Raw genomic sequence first — 12,552 nt, forward strand, 5'->3', positions numbered from 1 at the left:
ATGTAGTTTCATTTGGTAATTACTGTTTAGAGAACTTTATATATAAAACTTTTTACCTTCTGCTTCTGGTTATAAATGAGGTAGCTTATATCACACAAGTCCTCCTATTATGAACTACCATAAAAACTGAAGAAGAAGAAGAAAGCAACTAAAACATCTGTTTGAAGGCATTGGGGAGCAACCAAGAAAGTCAGGATTTAGAAGACCAGATTGAAGTACAGAGGAAAGCATAAAGGCTTAACAGGCATGTACTTGGGGTCCCAGCAGGAGGGACGAGAGAGAGTGGGACAGAACCAGTACTTGAAGAGAGAGGGCTGAGAGCTTTCCAAAATTGAAACACACACTCACATGCACACACACAAACACACACACACACCCCTAAATCACAGATTTAAGAAACTCTATAAACCAAAACCTGGATAAATGGAAAGAAAATCACTCCTAGCCCATCATAATGTAGCTTCTGAAAGACCAAATCAAAGATATACTTTAATAACAGTAATAGAAAATAGACAAATTACCTTTCAAAGAGCTACAGTGACATAAAAAACCACTTTTAAAAATAAAAATAGTGGAAGAAAAAGACCATAGAATTTCAAACGCTTGAAAGAAAACAACTGCAAACCTGAAATTTAATATCCAGTGAAACATTTCTTTAAAAAAAAGTTGGGGAAAATAAAGATATTTCAAAACAATAACAATAGCAGTAAAAGTTTATCACCAGCAGAATGCACTTAAAATATTAAGTGAATTCATTAGGTAGAAGAAAAGTGATACCAGATGGATGCATAGTAATGCAGGAAGGAGCAGGGAACACTGGGAGCACAAACGTGTGGGTAAATATAAAGGCATATTTCCTGTTTAAAAGTAATAATAATGTTTTATAGAGTTTTAAACATATGCAGATTTAGAATATATGTTAACAGTTGCACATAAGGAAGAGGGCAGTAAATGGAGTTCAGTGTTAAAAAGGTTTTGCATTCTCTGGGAGGTTGTAAAAATAATAATTTAAAGTATCTATTAGTAAGTTAAGGATACATATTATAATCTCTAGTGTATGTCTAAAAGAATGATTAAAGCATGTAGAAATAATAAGTTAATGGAGTGGGATAAAGTAAATAATAAAAAAATTAATTAATCCAAAATAATGTAAGAAAGGAAAACACAATGGAAATGAGATAGGAAAAATAGAGGACAAAGAATATAGCAGGTATATATCCTTGTTTTAGTCTGTTCAAGCTGTTAAATGAAATACTATACACTGGGTGGCTTCCAAACAACAGAAATTTATTTCTCACAGTTGTGGAGGTTGGGAAGTCCAAGAACAAGGTTCTGGCAAATTTGAAGTCTGATGACCATCTTTTTTGCTGTAACTCACAAAGCAGTAGAGATGAGGGATCTGTTTGGGGCCTCTTTTATATCGGCAAGAATCCCATTCATTAGGGCTCTGCCCTCATGACCTAATAATCACCTCCCAAGGCTTCACCTCCAAATACCATCACATTGAAGATTAGGTTTCAGTATGTGAATTTTGGGGAGACACAAACATTCAAACTTTTGGCTCCCCCCAGATTCATGTCCTTCTCATATCTGACATACATTCATTCCATCTCAATAGTCCCCAAAATCTTAATTTGTTCCAGCATCAACTCAAAAGTTTAAAGTTCAAAGTCTCATTTAAAAATCAGATATGAGGGAGACTCACAGTACAATTCATTCTGAGGCAAACTGCTGTTCAGATGGGAACCTGTGAGATTGAACATGTTGTGTGCTTCCAAAATACAAGAGTGGGACCAGGCATAGGATAGACATTCCCATTCCAAAGGGAGAAATAGGAAAGAAGAAATTCATAACAAATGCTTCCCAAGTCCAAAATCCAACAGAGCAAACATTAAATCTTTTTTTGGGGGGTGGGGAGTGGGTACAGAGTTTCTCTCTTGTTGCCCAAGCTGGAGTGCAATGGTGTGATCTCCGCTCACTGCAACCTCTGCCTCCCAGGTTCAAGTGATTCTCCTGCCTCAGCCTCCCCAGTAGCTAGGATCACAGGTGTGTGCCACCACACCCAGCTAATTTTTGTATTTTTTTTAGTAGAGACAAGGTTTCACCTGTTGGCCAGGCTGGTCTCCAACTCCTGACCTCAGTGATCCACCCACCTCAGCCTCCCAAAGTACTGGGATTGCAGGCATGAGCCACGGCGCTCGGCCAACATTAAATCTTAAGTCTTAAAAATAATCCTCTTTGGTTCCATGTCTCACTTCCAGACATACTGATGTGGTGAACCTGTCTCCACAGCTTTGGGTGGCCCTGCTCCCAGGGCAGCTTGATACCTGGCTTGCATCCTGGCTTCCTGGGGCTAGAGTCACACACTGGCTGCTTTACTGCTCTGGGTCAAGGGAGCTGACCTACCCCAGCTCTGCTGAGCGTTGGGCTTCACAGGGACTCTCTGTGGTGCCTCACACCCTCGGAGGCTTTTGCACTCTGCGCCTTTATAAGGGCACTAATTCCCTTCATGAAGGCTCTGTTCTCAGAACCTAGTCACCTCCCAAAGGCCCATATCCAAATACTATCAATTGAAGATTAGCTTTCAATATGTAATTTTTTGGGGAGACAAAAACATTCAGACCATAACAACCCTAATACTATCTATAACTACATTTAATATACTATGAACTCAATACTTCAAAGACATTGTCAGATTGGATTAAAACAAATGTTCTAATGCTTACATGGGACCCACATTAAATACAAAGACATAGAAAGATTTAAAGTAAAAAGATTTTTTAAAAAAAGCTGTTCCATGATAATATTAATGGAAAAACAGTTAATGTAGCTGTAATGATATCAAACAAAAGTGGCCACATACAGCAAGTAGGAAATGGCTGGGCGCGGTGGCTCATGCCGGTAATCCCAGCACTTTGGGAGGCCGAGGAGGGCGGATCACGAGGTCAGGAGATCGAGACCATCCTGGCTAACATGGTGAAACCCCATCTCTAATAAAAAATAGAAAAAATTAGCCAGGCGTGGTGGCAGGCGCCTGTAGTCCCAGCTACTCAGGAGGCTGAGGTAGGAGAATGGCGTGAACCCGGGAGGTGGGGCTTGCAGTGAGCCAAGATCGTTCCATTGCACTCCAGCTTGGGCGACAGAGCGAGACTCTGTCTCAAAAAAAAAAAAAACAAAAAAAGAGAAAAAAGAAATAGAAACCTAGTTAAAGATGTTATAATGATAAAAGGTAATATATACAGATAATATTATAATTATATGTGATATATTCTATATTATAATGTTAAATGTATGATCATTTGATAAAATCAAATAACATGATGATAAAATCATTATAATTAGGCTATCAAGATGAAAGGGTAAATTCCACAGGAAAATATAGCGATCTTAAACTCGTGTACCCTTAATAAAACAGCATCAAATTATGTAGTGAAAATTGGCCAGTCATGGTGGCTTGTGCCTGTAATCCCAGCACTTTGGGAGGCCAAGGCAGGCGGATCGCTTGAGGTCAGAAGTTCGAGACCAGTCTGGCCAACATGGTGAAACTCCATCTCCACAAAAAATACAAAAAAAAAGAAAATTAGCTGGGCGTGGTGGTGTGCCCCTGTAGTCCCAGCTACTCGGGAGGCTGAGGCAGGAGAATCACTTGAACCTGGGAGGCACAGGCTCCCACCACCACACTTCAGCCTGGGCAACAGAGTGAGTGAGACTCTATCTCAAAAAAAAAAAAAAGTAAAATTACGTAGTACAAGTTGACAGCATATAATGAAAGCGTAAGTAGAGAAATTCACACTCATTAATTGAAATTCCCCCCCCCCGTCCTTTCAGTAACTAATGAGACAGTTAGATAAAAATATCAGCAGAAGCCAGGCACGGTGGCTCACACATGTAATCCCAGCACTTTAGGAGGCTGAGGTTGGTGGTTCGCTTGAGCTCAGGAACTCAAGACCAGCCTGGGCAACATGGTGAGATCCTGCCTCTACGAAAAATACAAAAAATTAGCCTGGTGTGGTGATGCGCACCTGTAATCCCAGCTACTAGGGGTGCTGAGAGGGGATGATTACTTGTGCCCAGGAGGTTGAGGCTGCAGTGAGCTGCAATTGCACCACTGTACTTCAGCCTGGGTGACAAAGCAAGACCCAGTCTCAAAAAAAAAGAAAAAAAATCAATAGAGAAATTTGAACAACATAGTAAGTTTGACTAGTTGACATATGTAGAGTTTTGCACCCAACAAGTGCAAAACAATTTTTCAAGTACACATGAAATAATTAGAAAATAACTATATACTGGGGAGTAAGTTTCAAAAAATATCTATGAATTGAAGTCATATTGAGTATGTTCTCAGTTTACAGTGTAATTCAACTGGAAGTCAACAATAAAAAGGCTAGAAAATCTCCAAACGGTTGAAGATGATCAACTATATACATACATGTGTATATATACACATAAACATATATGGACACACGTGTATACATACGTGTATATACACGTATATACACATGTGCATATGTGTATACAAACATTCACACGTGTATACACACGTGTATAAACTATATACATGTGCATATATACACACATACACACATGTGTGTATATATGTGTGTATATACACACGTGTGTATGTGTATATACACGTGTGCATATGTGTGTGTATATACACACAAGTGTGCATATATGTGTGTATATACACTGTGTATGTGTGTGTATATACACGTGCATATGTGTCTGTATATACACGTGTGTATATGTGCGTGTATATATGCGTGTGTATATATGTGTGTGTATATACACGTGTGTGTATATATGTGTATGTATACACGTATGTGTATATAGTTGATCATCTTCAACCGTTTGGAGATTTTCTATTATATATATTTTTTCTTTAACATTATATGGTGTTTTATCATATAGTGTTTCTTACGGACATAGCTTAAGAATCATCTGTTATTTTGTTTCACAGAAAGTGTGAAACTGCAGGGGAGCCGATTTGTATAGATCCTGGTAAAAAGATAATTGAGTAGGTAAATTCCAGGGAGCTTTTGGACAGTGGATCCCCCTGTCAGTGGTTTTGGAGTCCCTAGTTTCAGTTACTCGTGGTCAACTGTGGTCTAAAAATATTAAACAGAAAATTCCAGGAATAAACAGTTCCTAGGTTTTCAATTGTGTTGACTTCTGATTGGCGTGATGAGATCCAGCCATCTTACTCCTTCCCACAGAAAGTGAGTCCTCCCTTTGCCCAGCGTTTCCCTGCTGTCTACAATATCCACCTGTTAGTCACTTCACAATCTGGGTTATTAGATGACTGTGGCAATGACCAGTGTGGTGTCTTCAAGTTGCCTTGATTTTACTGACTTTTTGCCCTTATTTCTCTCTGGCTCCAAAGTGCAAGAGAAGTGATGCTGGCAATTCAGATATGCCAAAGAGAAGCTGCAAATGCCTCCTTTAAGTTAAAAGGTAAAAATTCTGGACTTAATAAGGAAAGAAAAAAAATCATATGCAGAGGTTGCCAAGATCTACTAAAAACAAATCTATCCACGAAAATGTGAAGAAGAAAAAAGAAATGCATGCTAGTTTTGCTGTTGCATCATTTTTGGATGGAAGAACAGAAACATGTTCCCATTGACCGCAATGGGTACTATCCATGGTTTCAGGCATCCACTGGGGCTCTTGGAACCTATCCCCCATAGGTATGGGGGGGCTACTGTATTTCTGGCCCCACAGTCTTCTACTGCCGACTTTAGGTCTCTCTGGATCTCAGGCCCCCTTCTCTAAGATGCATCCTAGAGGACCAAAAATACACTTTATTTGGGCTTCGCCTGCTTTTGTGGAAGGGTAGTTTACTAGAGGATATAATCTCGTGTTTTAATTTGCTCTCTCTCCTAAAGGAAATGTGGAGAAAAAAAAAAAGCAGAAATTGGAAATAACCAATATTTAGTTTATTTCATTCGATTCTTAGGGGAACTGGTGAGGAGCCTAAGATGATTTTCCCTTCCTAGAGAAAGAATCCAAAGTCCAGGGAAATAGCGACAGGGGAGTTCAAGACTGCCCCTGCTAGTCCTTCCTTGGCTACTCTCCGCTGCGATCGCAGGATAGCTCTCATTAGCAGGAGAATCGGGCAAGTGTGTGGATAAGTAGAGAGTGTGTTGAACAACTTGTAACGTTTTATGAAATACGCATTGTCATGGTTCCCTAAAAGGCTTTGCGGAAGCCGTTTGTCTTTACTAATCAAGTCTTTACTTACACAAAAGTAGAAGTAGAAGTAGTTTTAGAAAACATACTAACAATCTTCTATCCCCTTGAAGACCAGAGTAGCAGAAAACAGGTGATTTGCATTATAAAATTGCACTCACTTTTTCCTCCTTTCAGATTTCACATTACATTAGCCTATTTGTGTTACGGTGTATAAAAAATGGAACAGGCGCCTCCACTACATTGTTCTCCTTTAAAAATAGATCACTTACACCCTAACTTTGTTTTCCTTAAATTCGATTCTTAACAGGAGAGCTTTCTATTATTTCAGATGGAGTGAGGTTGCACGACTGGGATGGAAGAAAGGAATCCCTTAAATTTGGGGGAATTTCTGTTCTCTGTTCTAAGACCATTTTACTTGGGGTGTGGGGGTGGGCGCGGCGGTCAGGGCAGTGGAACGCAGTCGCGGCTGCGCCATCCCTGCACTTCCAGGCGCGCGGGAGGGACCGGCGGGGACGCGAGCTGCGGACTCTGGCGAACTCGGGGGAGGCAGACAGGGGGAGGCGGACACCCAGCCGGCAGGCGTCTCAGCCTCCCCGCAGCCGGCGGGCTTTTCTCCTGACAGCTCCAGGAAAGGCAGACCCCTTCCCCAGCCAGCCAGGTAAGGTAAAGACTGCTGTTGAGCTTGCTGTTACTGAGGGCGCACAGACCCTGGGGAGACCGAAGCTTGCCACTGCGGGATTCTGTGGGGTAACCTGGGTCTACGGAAGTTTCCTGAAAGAGGGGAGAAGGGTTTGCATTTTTCCTATGGAGGATTCTTCTCTCTCTAGCATTTCGTTTGATGTATTCAACTGGTAGAAGTGAGATTTCAACAGGTAGCAGAGAGCGCTCACGTGGAGGAGGTTTGGGGCGCCGCGGCGCCACCCCCACCCCTCCTCGGGACCGCGCCTATTTCTAAAGTTACACGTCGACGAACTAACCTATGCTTTAAATTCCTCTTTCCAGCCCCGTGAGTCCGCGGCGACATTGGGCCGTGGGGTGGCTGGGAACGGTCCCCTCCTCCGGAAAAACCAGAGAACGGCTTGGAGAGCTGAAACGAGCGTCCGCGAGCAGGTCCGTGCAGAACCGGGCTTCAGGACCGCTGAGCTCCGTAGGGCGTCCTTGGGGGACGCCAGGTCGCCGGCTCCTCTGCCCTCGTTGAGATGGACAACGCCTCGTTCTCGGAGCCCTGGCCCGCCAACGCATCGGGCCCGGACCCGGCGCTGAGCTGCTCCAACGCGTCGACTCTGGCGCCGCTGCCGGCGCCGCTGGCGGTGGCTGTACCAGTTGTCTACGCGGTGATCTGCGCCGTGGGTCTGGCGGGCAACTCCGCCGTGCTGTACGTGTTGCTGCGGGCGCCCCGCATGAAGACCGTCACCAACCTGTTCATCCTCAACCTGGCCATCGCCGACGAGCTCTTCACGCTGGTGCTGCCCATCAACATCGCCGACTTCCTGCTGCGGCAGTGGCCCTTCGGGGAGCTCATGTGCAAGCTCATCGTGGCTATCGACCAGTACAACACCTTCTCCAGCCTCTACTTCCTCACCGTCATGAGCGCCGACCGCTACCTGGTGGTGTTGGCCACTGCGGAGTCGCGCCGGGTGGCCGGCCGCACCTACAGCGCCGCGCGCGCGGTGAGCCTGGCCGTGTGGGGGATCGTCACACTCGTCGTGCTGCCCTTCGCAGTCTTCGCCCGGCTAGACGACGAGCAGGGCCGGCGCCAGTGCGTGCTAGTCTTTCCGCAGCCCGAGGCCTTCTGGTGGCGCGCGAGCCGCCTCTACACGCTCGTGCTGGGCTTCGCCATCCCCGTGTCCACCATCTGTGTCCTCTATACCACCCTGCTGTGCCGGCTGCATGCCATGCGGCTGGACAGCCACGCCAAGGCCCTGGAGCGCGCCAAGAAGCGGGTGACCTTCCTGGTGGTGGCAATCCTGGCGGTGTGCCTCCTCTGCTGGACGCCCTACCACCTGAGCACCGTGGTGGCGCTCACCACCGACCTCCCGCAGACGCCGCTGGTCATCGCTATCTCCTACTTCATCACCAGCCTGAGCTACGCCAACAGCTGCCTCAACCCCTTCCTCTACGCCTTCCTGGACGCCAGCTTCCGCAGGAACCTCCGCCAGCTGATAACTTGCCGCGCGGCAGCCTGACTCCCCCAGCGTCCGGCTCCGCAACTGCCCGCCACTCCTGGCCAGCGAGGGAGGAGCCGGCGCCAGAGTGCGGGACCAGACAGGCCGCCTAGGCCTCCTGGGGAAACCGACTCGCGCCCCATACCCGACCTAGCAGATCGGAAGCGCTGCGACTGTGCCCGCAGGTTGACCTTGCCAAGCCCTCCAGGTGATGCGCGGCCATGCCGGGTGAGGAGAACTGAGGCTGAGATCGCCACACTGAGGGCTCCCTAAAGCCGAGGTGGAGGAAGAGGAGGGTAGAGGAGGAGGGCGGTATTGCTGGGAACCGCCCCCTCCCTGCCCTGCTCCCTGCTGCCCCACCCGAGCCCTGGCAGTCTGGAACCTGGCTGGAGTCGGAACTCTCCGCGCCTTCGAAGGGAGGCCCGAGGACGCTGCCGGCGCCCCCAGGCGTCGGCTCCGCGCGGCCCCTGCTGTAGCTGGCGCACAGCCCCGGCGGGTCCCCTTGTCCTCCGCGCGCTCTGGGAAGACGGTCAGGCGCGCGCGTTTGGCGCCCACCCCTGTGAGACCCGCTTGGCCTGGCGCCGCGGGCGGGGACCGCTGCCGAGGCCGCCAGCGCCTCTTCAACTGGGGAAAACACAACAACTCGGGATGCCCCATCGGAGTGTGTATACACCTGTGTGTGTGTGTGTGTGGTGTGCGCGCGTTTGCGGAGGCATGAAATGCGGGGAAAGAGGCTGGCGCTTGGCAGTGACTGCCTAGAATATGATACGAATAGTGATCCTTCTTTCTGTCTGCCCCTACTCCTTTTCTTTGCCTTTTCCCTTTCCTATCCGTGATCTCCCCTGAAAATGTCAGACTCCCGGAGCAAGGAACCCGGAGTAGCCCGGGCGCGCGGTTCCGGCGCCCCCTGGAGGAGCCAGCGGCCGAGTGCTTAGCGTCGGAGGATCGCGGGGCTTTGTGGTGGAGCACTCCGGCTGAGCGCGCTTCACAGCGCTGTGGCACACTGGTCATCGTTGCTTATAGAGGATGCCAAGCCCCACCCCCATTCCCCCAATTGGCCTCGTCTCTTGTCTTACTTAGATCAGTTTGTTGTAACTGTTCATGTGTGTACTGTTTTTCAGGACTGAAAACTTTATAAATAATGTACATGTCCTAATCTCACGAGTTGCCATGAAGATCAAATAAGATAAAAAGAAATGCGATCTATTCTCTTGTGTTCCCTTTCTCCTCTGCTTCCTTGGCTCCGCCTTAGGGAGAGCAGGAAGCAGGGATGACCGACGGCTTCAGGTTTTCTCTGCTGTACTTTTCACAGGGAGCTGTGGATTACCTGGGCTTTATTCCTTACTTGTAGACGGCATCCGGTAGGTAGTCCCGGTAAACCGGGTAAATACTGGTCCTGGAGTCACCAGGGAGATTGGCCAGCATCCTACCTGTGTTTTTGTCTCTGCATATGGAAGACAAAGTGGATTAAGAGAGAGGACTGGCATTGGGTTTGCCCAATCCTCTGCAGTTTAGCCTTAGACATGAGGGCCGAACCCTAAGCAAAGTCTGGTAATTGATTATGGTGTTTTAAAAGGTATTAATCTTTAGGATGAAGTCCAAACAGGATGAAAATTTCTACAAATGTTTGTTTCCTATGTCATGTGTGAGAAAAAAAAATGTGAGTGTTGCAGCACATTTTGTTTGCTTAGTTTGGCATCTTCAATCAATTTCTCAATTATTTAGGTTGAAAATAGCTTTTAATAAATATTTGGAAGGAAAAAACTCCCCCTTGGAATGGGGGGAAGCAAACCCCCTCTCTAATTTTGGTGAATAAGAATTGCTTTCTTAGCTCTCAGAGTTTTTAGGAACATTGAAATAATTCATAGCCATCAGTTTAGAAAATATACATTAAAAAACCTTCTGTCTTGGGTGGCAAATAATAGTAAATTGTTTAAAAGAAAGTTTTCATCTACAATGAGTTTCGAGTGGTGGACCTCATGGCATTTGAACAGGCCTCTCTCTGCTGGCCGGCTTCGGAGGCTTCTTGGAATTCATTTTAATATCTTTCGAATTTCTAGGAAACATTCTATTGATTTTCCTTAAACTCTCAAAATTATCTCATGAATCCTCTGTAACTTTTCAAAATTAAAGTTTTAAACTTAGAGTAACTTCTAGATTACCTAAGGTGATGGACAAAGAGTAAGGTGAACATTTGGCTACAAACACAGCTGGAGTGATTGTCTGGATTCAGTATCTCATCTGTCTTAATAAGCTCAGTAACTGGACTCAGATGGGGGACAGCTGAGTGATCCATCTGTCCACTGTTTCATCCCTACAGTAGATTGACCTCGAGCCTTCTTGGAATCTATGGAGATGACTGCTGGAAAAATACACGGGCTGACATTGCTGTTCATCCCCAGCAAGGCATGGACTGGCTTCTGAGTATGCCTGTGGGATTAATCAGGTCTCAGCAGTTGAGTTCCTCCTGGGCTTTCTGATCACTGGATAAACTGTTGTATCATTATTTCTAGGTCGTTGCCCTTCATACGAGCATGTAGACTGTATATCTCAGGCTTCCTTTTTATGTCTTGGGTAATCGGTTGAATAAATACACACATAAGCCAGGCAAAAGTAGAATTTATTCACATCATTGTATTGCAAAGGTTTTAACACTGTGTTGAATTCTTGCAGTTTCTGTGTAAACTCTATGGTTTGGTTTTACCACTTTGAATAGTTAAAAATGTCTATTTGCTTTTACTTAATTTAGTGCAGTTATGTAATGTGTATGCTTATGTTTTCTCTTGACAAACGCAGAAACTCTGTAGTCCATTGTAGAGGAGCTCAGTTTAAAATAAAAGCTGAAACATTCTGTGTGATAAGTGAACATTCTATTTTCTGAGAACAAGTTATCCACAATTAAGTCACCTTAGCATTTGTGCAGTGTTACTATTTAAAAATACTGCCTTCATTGGAAAAGTGATCCAATGAATACTCAATGAATAAATAGAAGTATTTGACAGGACAAAATTAAGAATGAACACCCCCACCCCTTAATTTGGTTGATTGTGAAAATGATGCAAAGCTGCTGATAAACACAGAGATTCCAGAACTTATGCTGGGCAGAGAAAGGATGCTAAACTTCTATCATACCATCAAAAGCCTCATTTCTTAAATATTTGAGCAGCTATGTGGAGGGGGAGAAGGGAAGAGAAATTGCTTCAATTATTAGTATACACATTGCTATCAGCAATATGCATAGACATAGCACAAATATGCAAGGTGGAGAATCTCACCTGAAAAACTCACGAACTTATTATAAACCCTTCTTTCCTCAGCAACATGCTGGGAAAACAACAGCAAGACAAAAAAACAGTAAACTCTCCTTGGATATTAATCATCTATGCTTATGCACATTAAGAAAGAGATCAGAGAATTCTGCCCATAATGGTCTTTTATTAGCACAGCTTTGGGTCTGGCACTTCGGCCCCCATTTTACATACAAAGAAAGTGAGATACAAGGAAGTGGATCAATTTAGCCAGGCCCACAAAGATCAGTGAAGACCAATCAGAGCCACCCAGTTCCCATTCTATTCTAGGAATTGTGTCATCTTGTTTCAGCAGAGATGGAATTCGTTGCAATGTGTAATTTGGAAATATTAGACTAGAAAACAATGATGTCTTTTAAATATTTAGTAGATTAAGCAAGCTGTATCTACCATTAGCTCATACGAGATAAAGGGAGGGTAAGATTTAATATTATAAAACTTCAATCTTAATTCAGAGACTTACAAAGTGTATGGGATTGTTGAAAGTTATATGAGAATAAAAATTCCTAACAGAGCTGTCACACAAAGGCACCATGTGCATAGCAGCCTCCACGCTTTATGTACGTGGAACTGTGCCCCAGAGGGACTATTCATATAGGAGACAATGCTAATGATGGCTGTACTCTGTAGAATGGAGCTTTGCAATGGATGATGCTGTCCTTGAATTTAGGGCAAGGGAAATGTATTTGTTTATACCATATCTCATAAGGTTACATTGGTGACATCATGTTAAATAAAAATAAAAGATGGAAAAAGGGAAGGAAATTTAAAATGATATTGCTCAGAAACTGTCAGAATGCATGAACTGCATGCTTCCCACAGTCCAGAAGATTTCTCTTGGGCCTGGGGGGCAATAGTGCACACAGACCTGATGCTCTGTTGGGCCA

At 45.0% G+C, this 12,552-nt stretch overlaps 1 protein-coding gene across 1 annotated transcript, besides 2 other annotated features; it reads left to right on the forward strand.

Moving 5' to 3' along the window:
- Positions 1–6,665: 6,665 nt before the first annotated feature.
- Positions 6,666–11,218, forward strand: NPBWR1 (neuropeptides B and W receptor 1). The gene is made up of 2 exons (NM_005285.5): positions 6,666–6,850; positions 7,195–11,218. The coding sequence occupies exon 2, from the start codon at positions 7,392–7,394 to the stop codon at positions 8,376–8,378; it is 987 nt and encodes a 328-aa protein (NP_005276.2). The 5' UTR covers positions 6,666–6,850; positions 7,195–7,391; the 3' UTR covers positions 8,379–11,218.
- Positions 6,841–7,472: an enhancer, noted in NCBI's record as "H3K4me1 hESC enhancer chr8:53851917-53852548 (GRCh37/hg19 assembly coordinates)". NCBI's record gives its function as "activates a minimal SCP1, AML or CMV promoter by ChIP-STARR-seq in naive H9 embryonic stem cells {active_cell/tissue: H9 hESC(naive)}" and the evidence as "EXISTENCE:reporter gene assay evidence [ECO:0000049][PMID:30033119]".
- Positions 7,473–8,104: an enhancer, noted in NCBI's record as "H3K27ac-H3K4me1 hESC enhancer chr8:53852549-53853180 (GRCh37/hg19 assembly coordinates)". NCBI's record gives its function as "activates a minimal SCP1, AML or CMV promoter by ChIP-STARR-seq in naive H9 embryonic stem cells {active_cell/tissue: H9 hESC(naive)}" and the evidence as "EXISTENCE:reporter gene assay evidence [ECO:0000049][PMID:30033119]".
- Positions 11,219–12,552: the final 1,334 nt, after the last annotated feature.

The sequence above is a fragment of the Homo sapiens genome, chromosome 8 (assembly GCF_000001405.40).
Source record: "Homo sapiens chromosome 8, GRCh38.p14 Primary Assembly".
In the NCBI taxonomy this organism is placed as follows: domain Eukaryota; kingdom Metazoa; phylum Chordata; class Mammalia; order Primates; family Hominidae; genus Homo; species Homo sapiens.

Excerpts from the sequence above, each read along its gene's own strand:
- NPBWR1 (NM_005285.5), top strand. The coding sequence starts at position 7,392 with ATGGACAACGCCTCGTTCTCGGAGCCCTGGCCCGCCAACGCATCGGGC.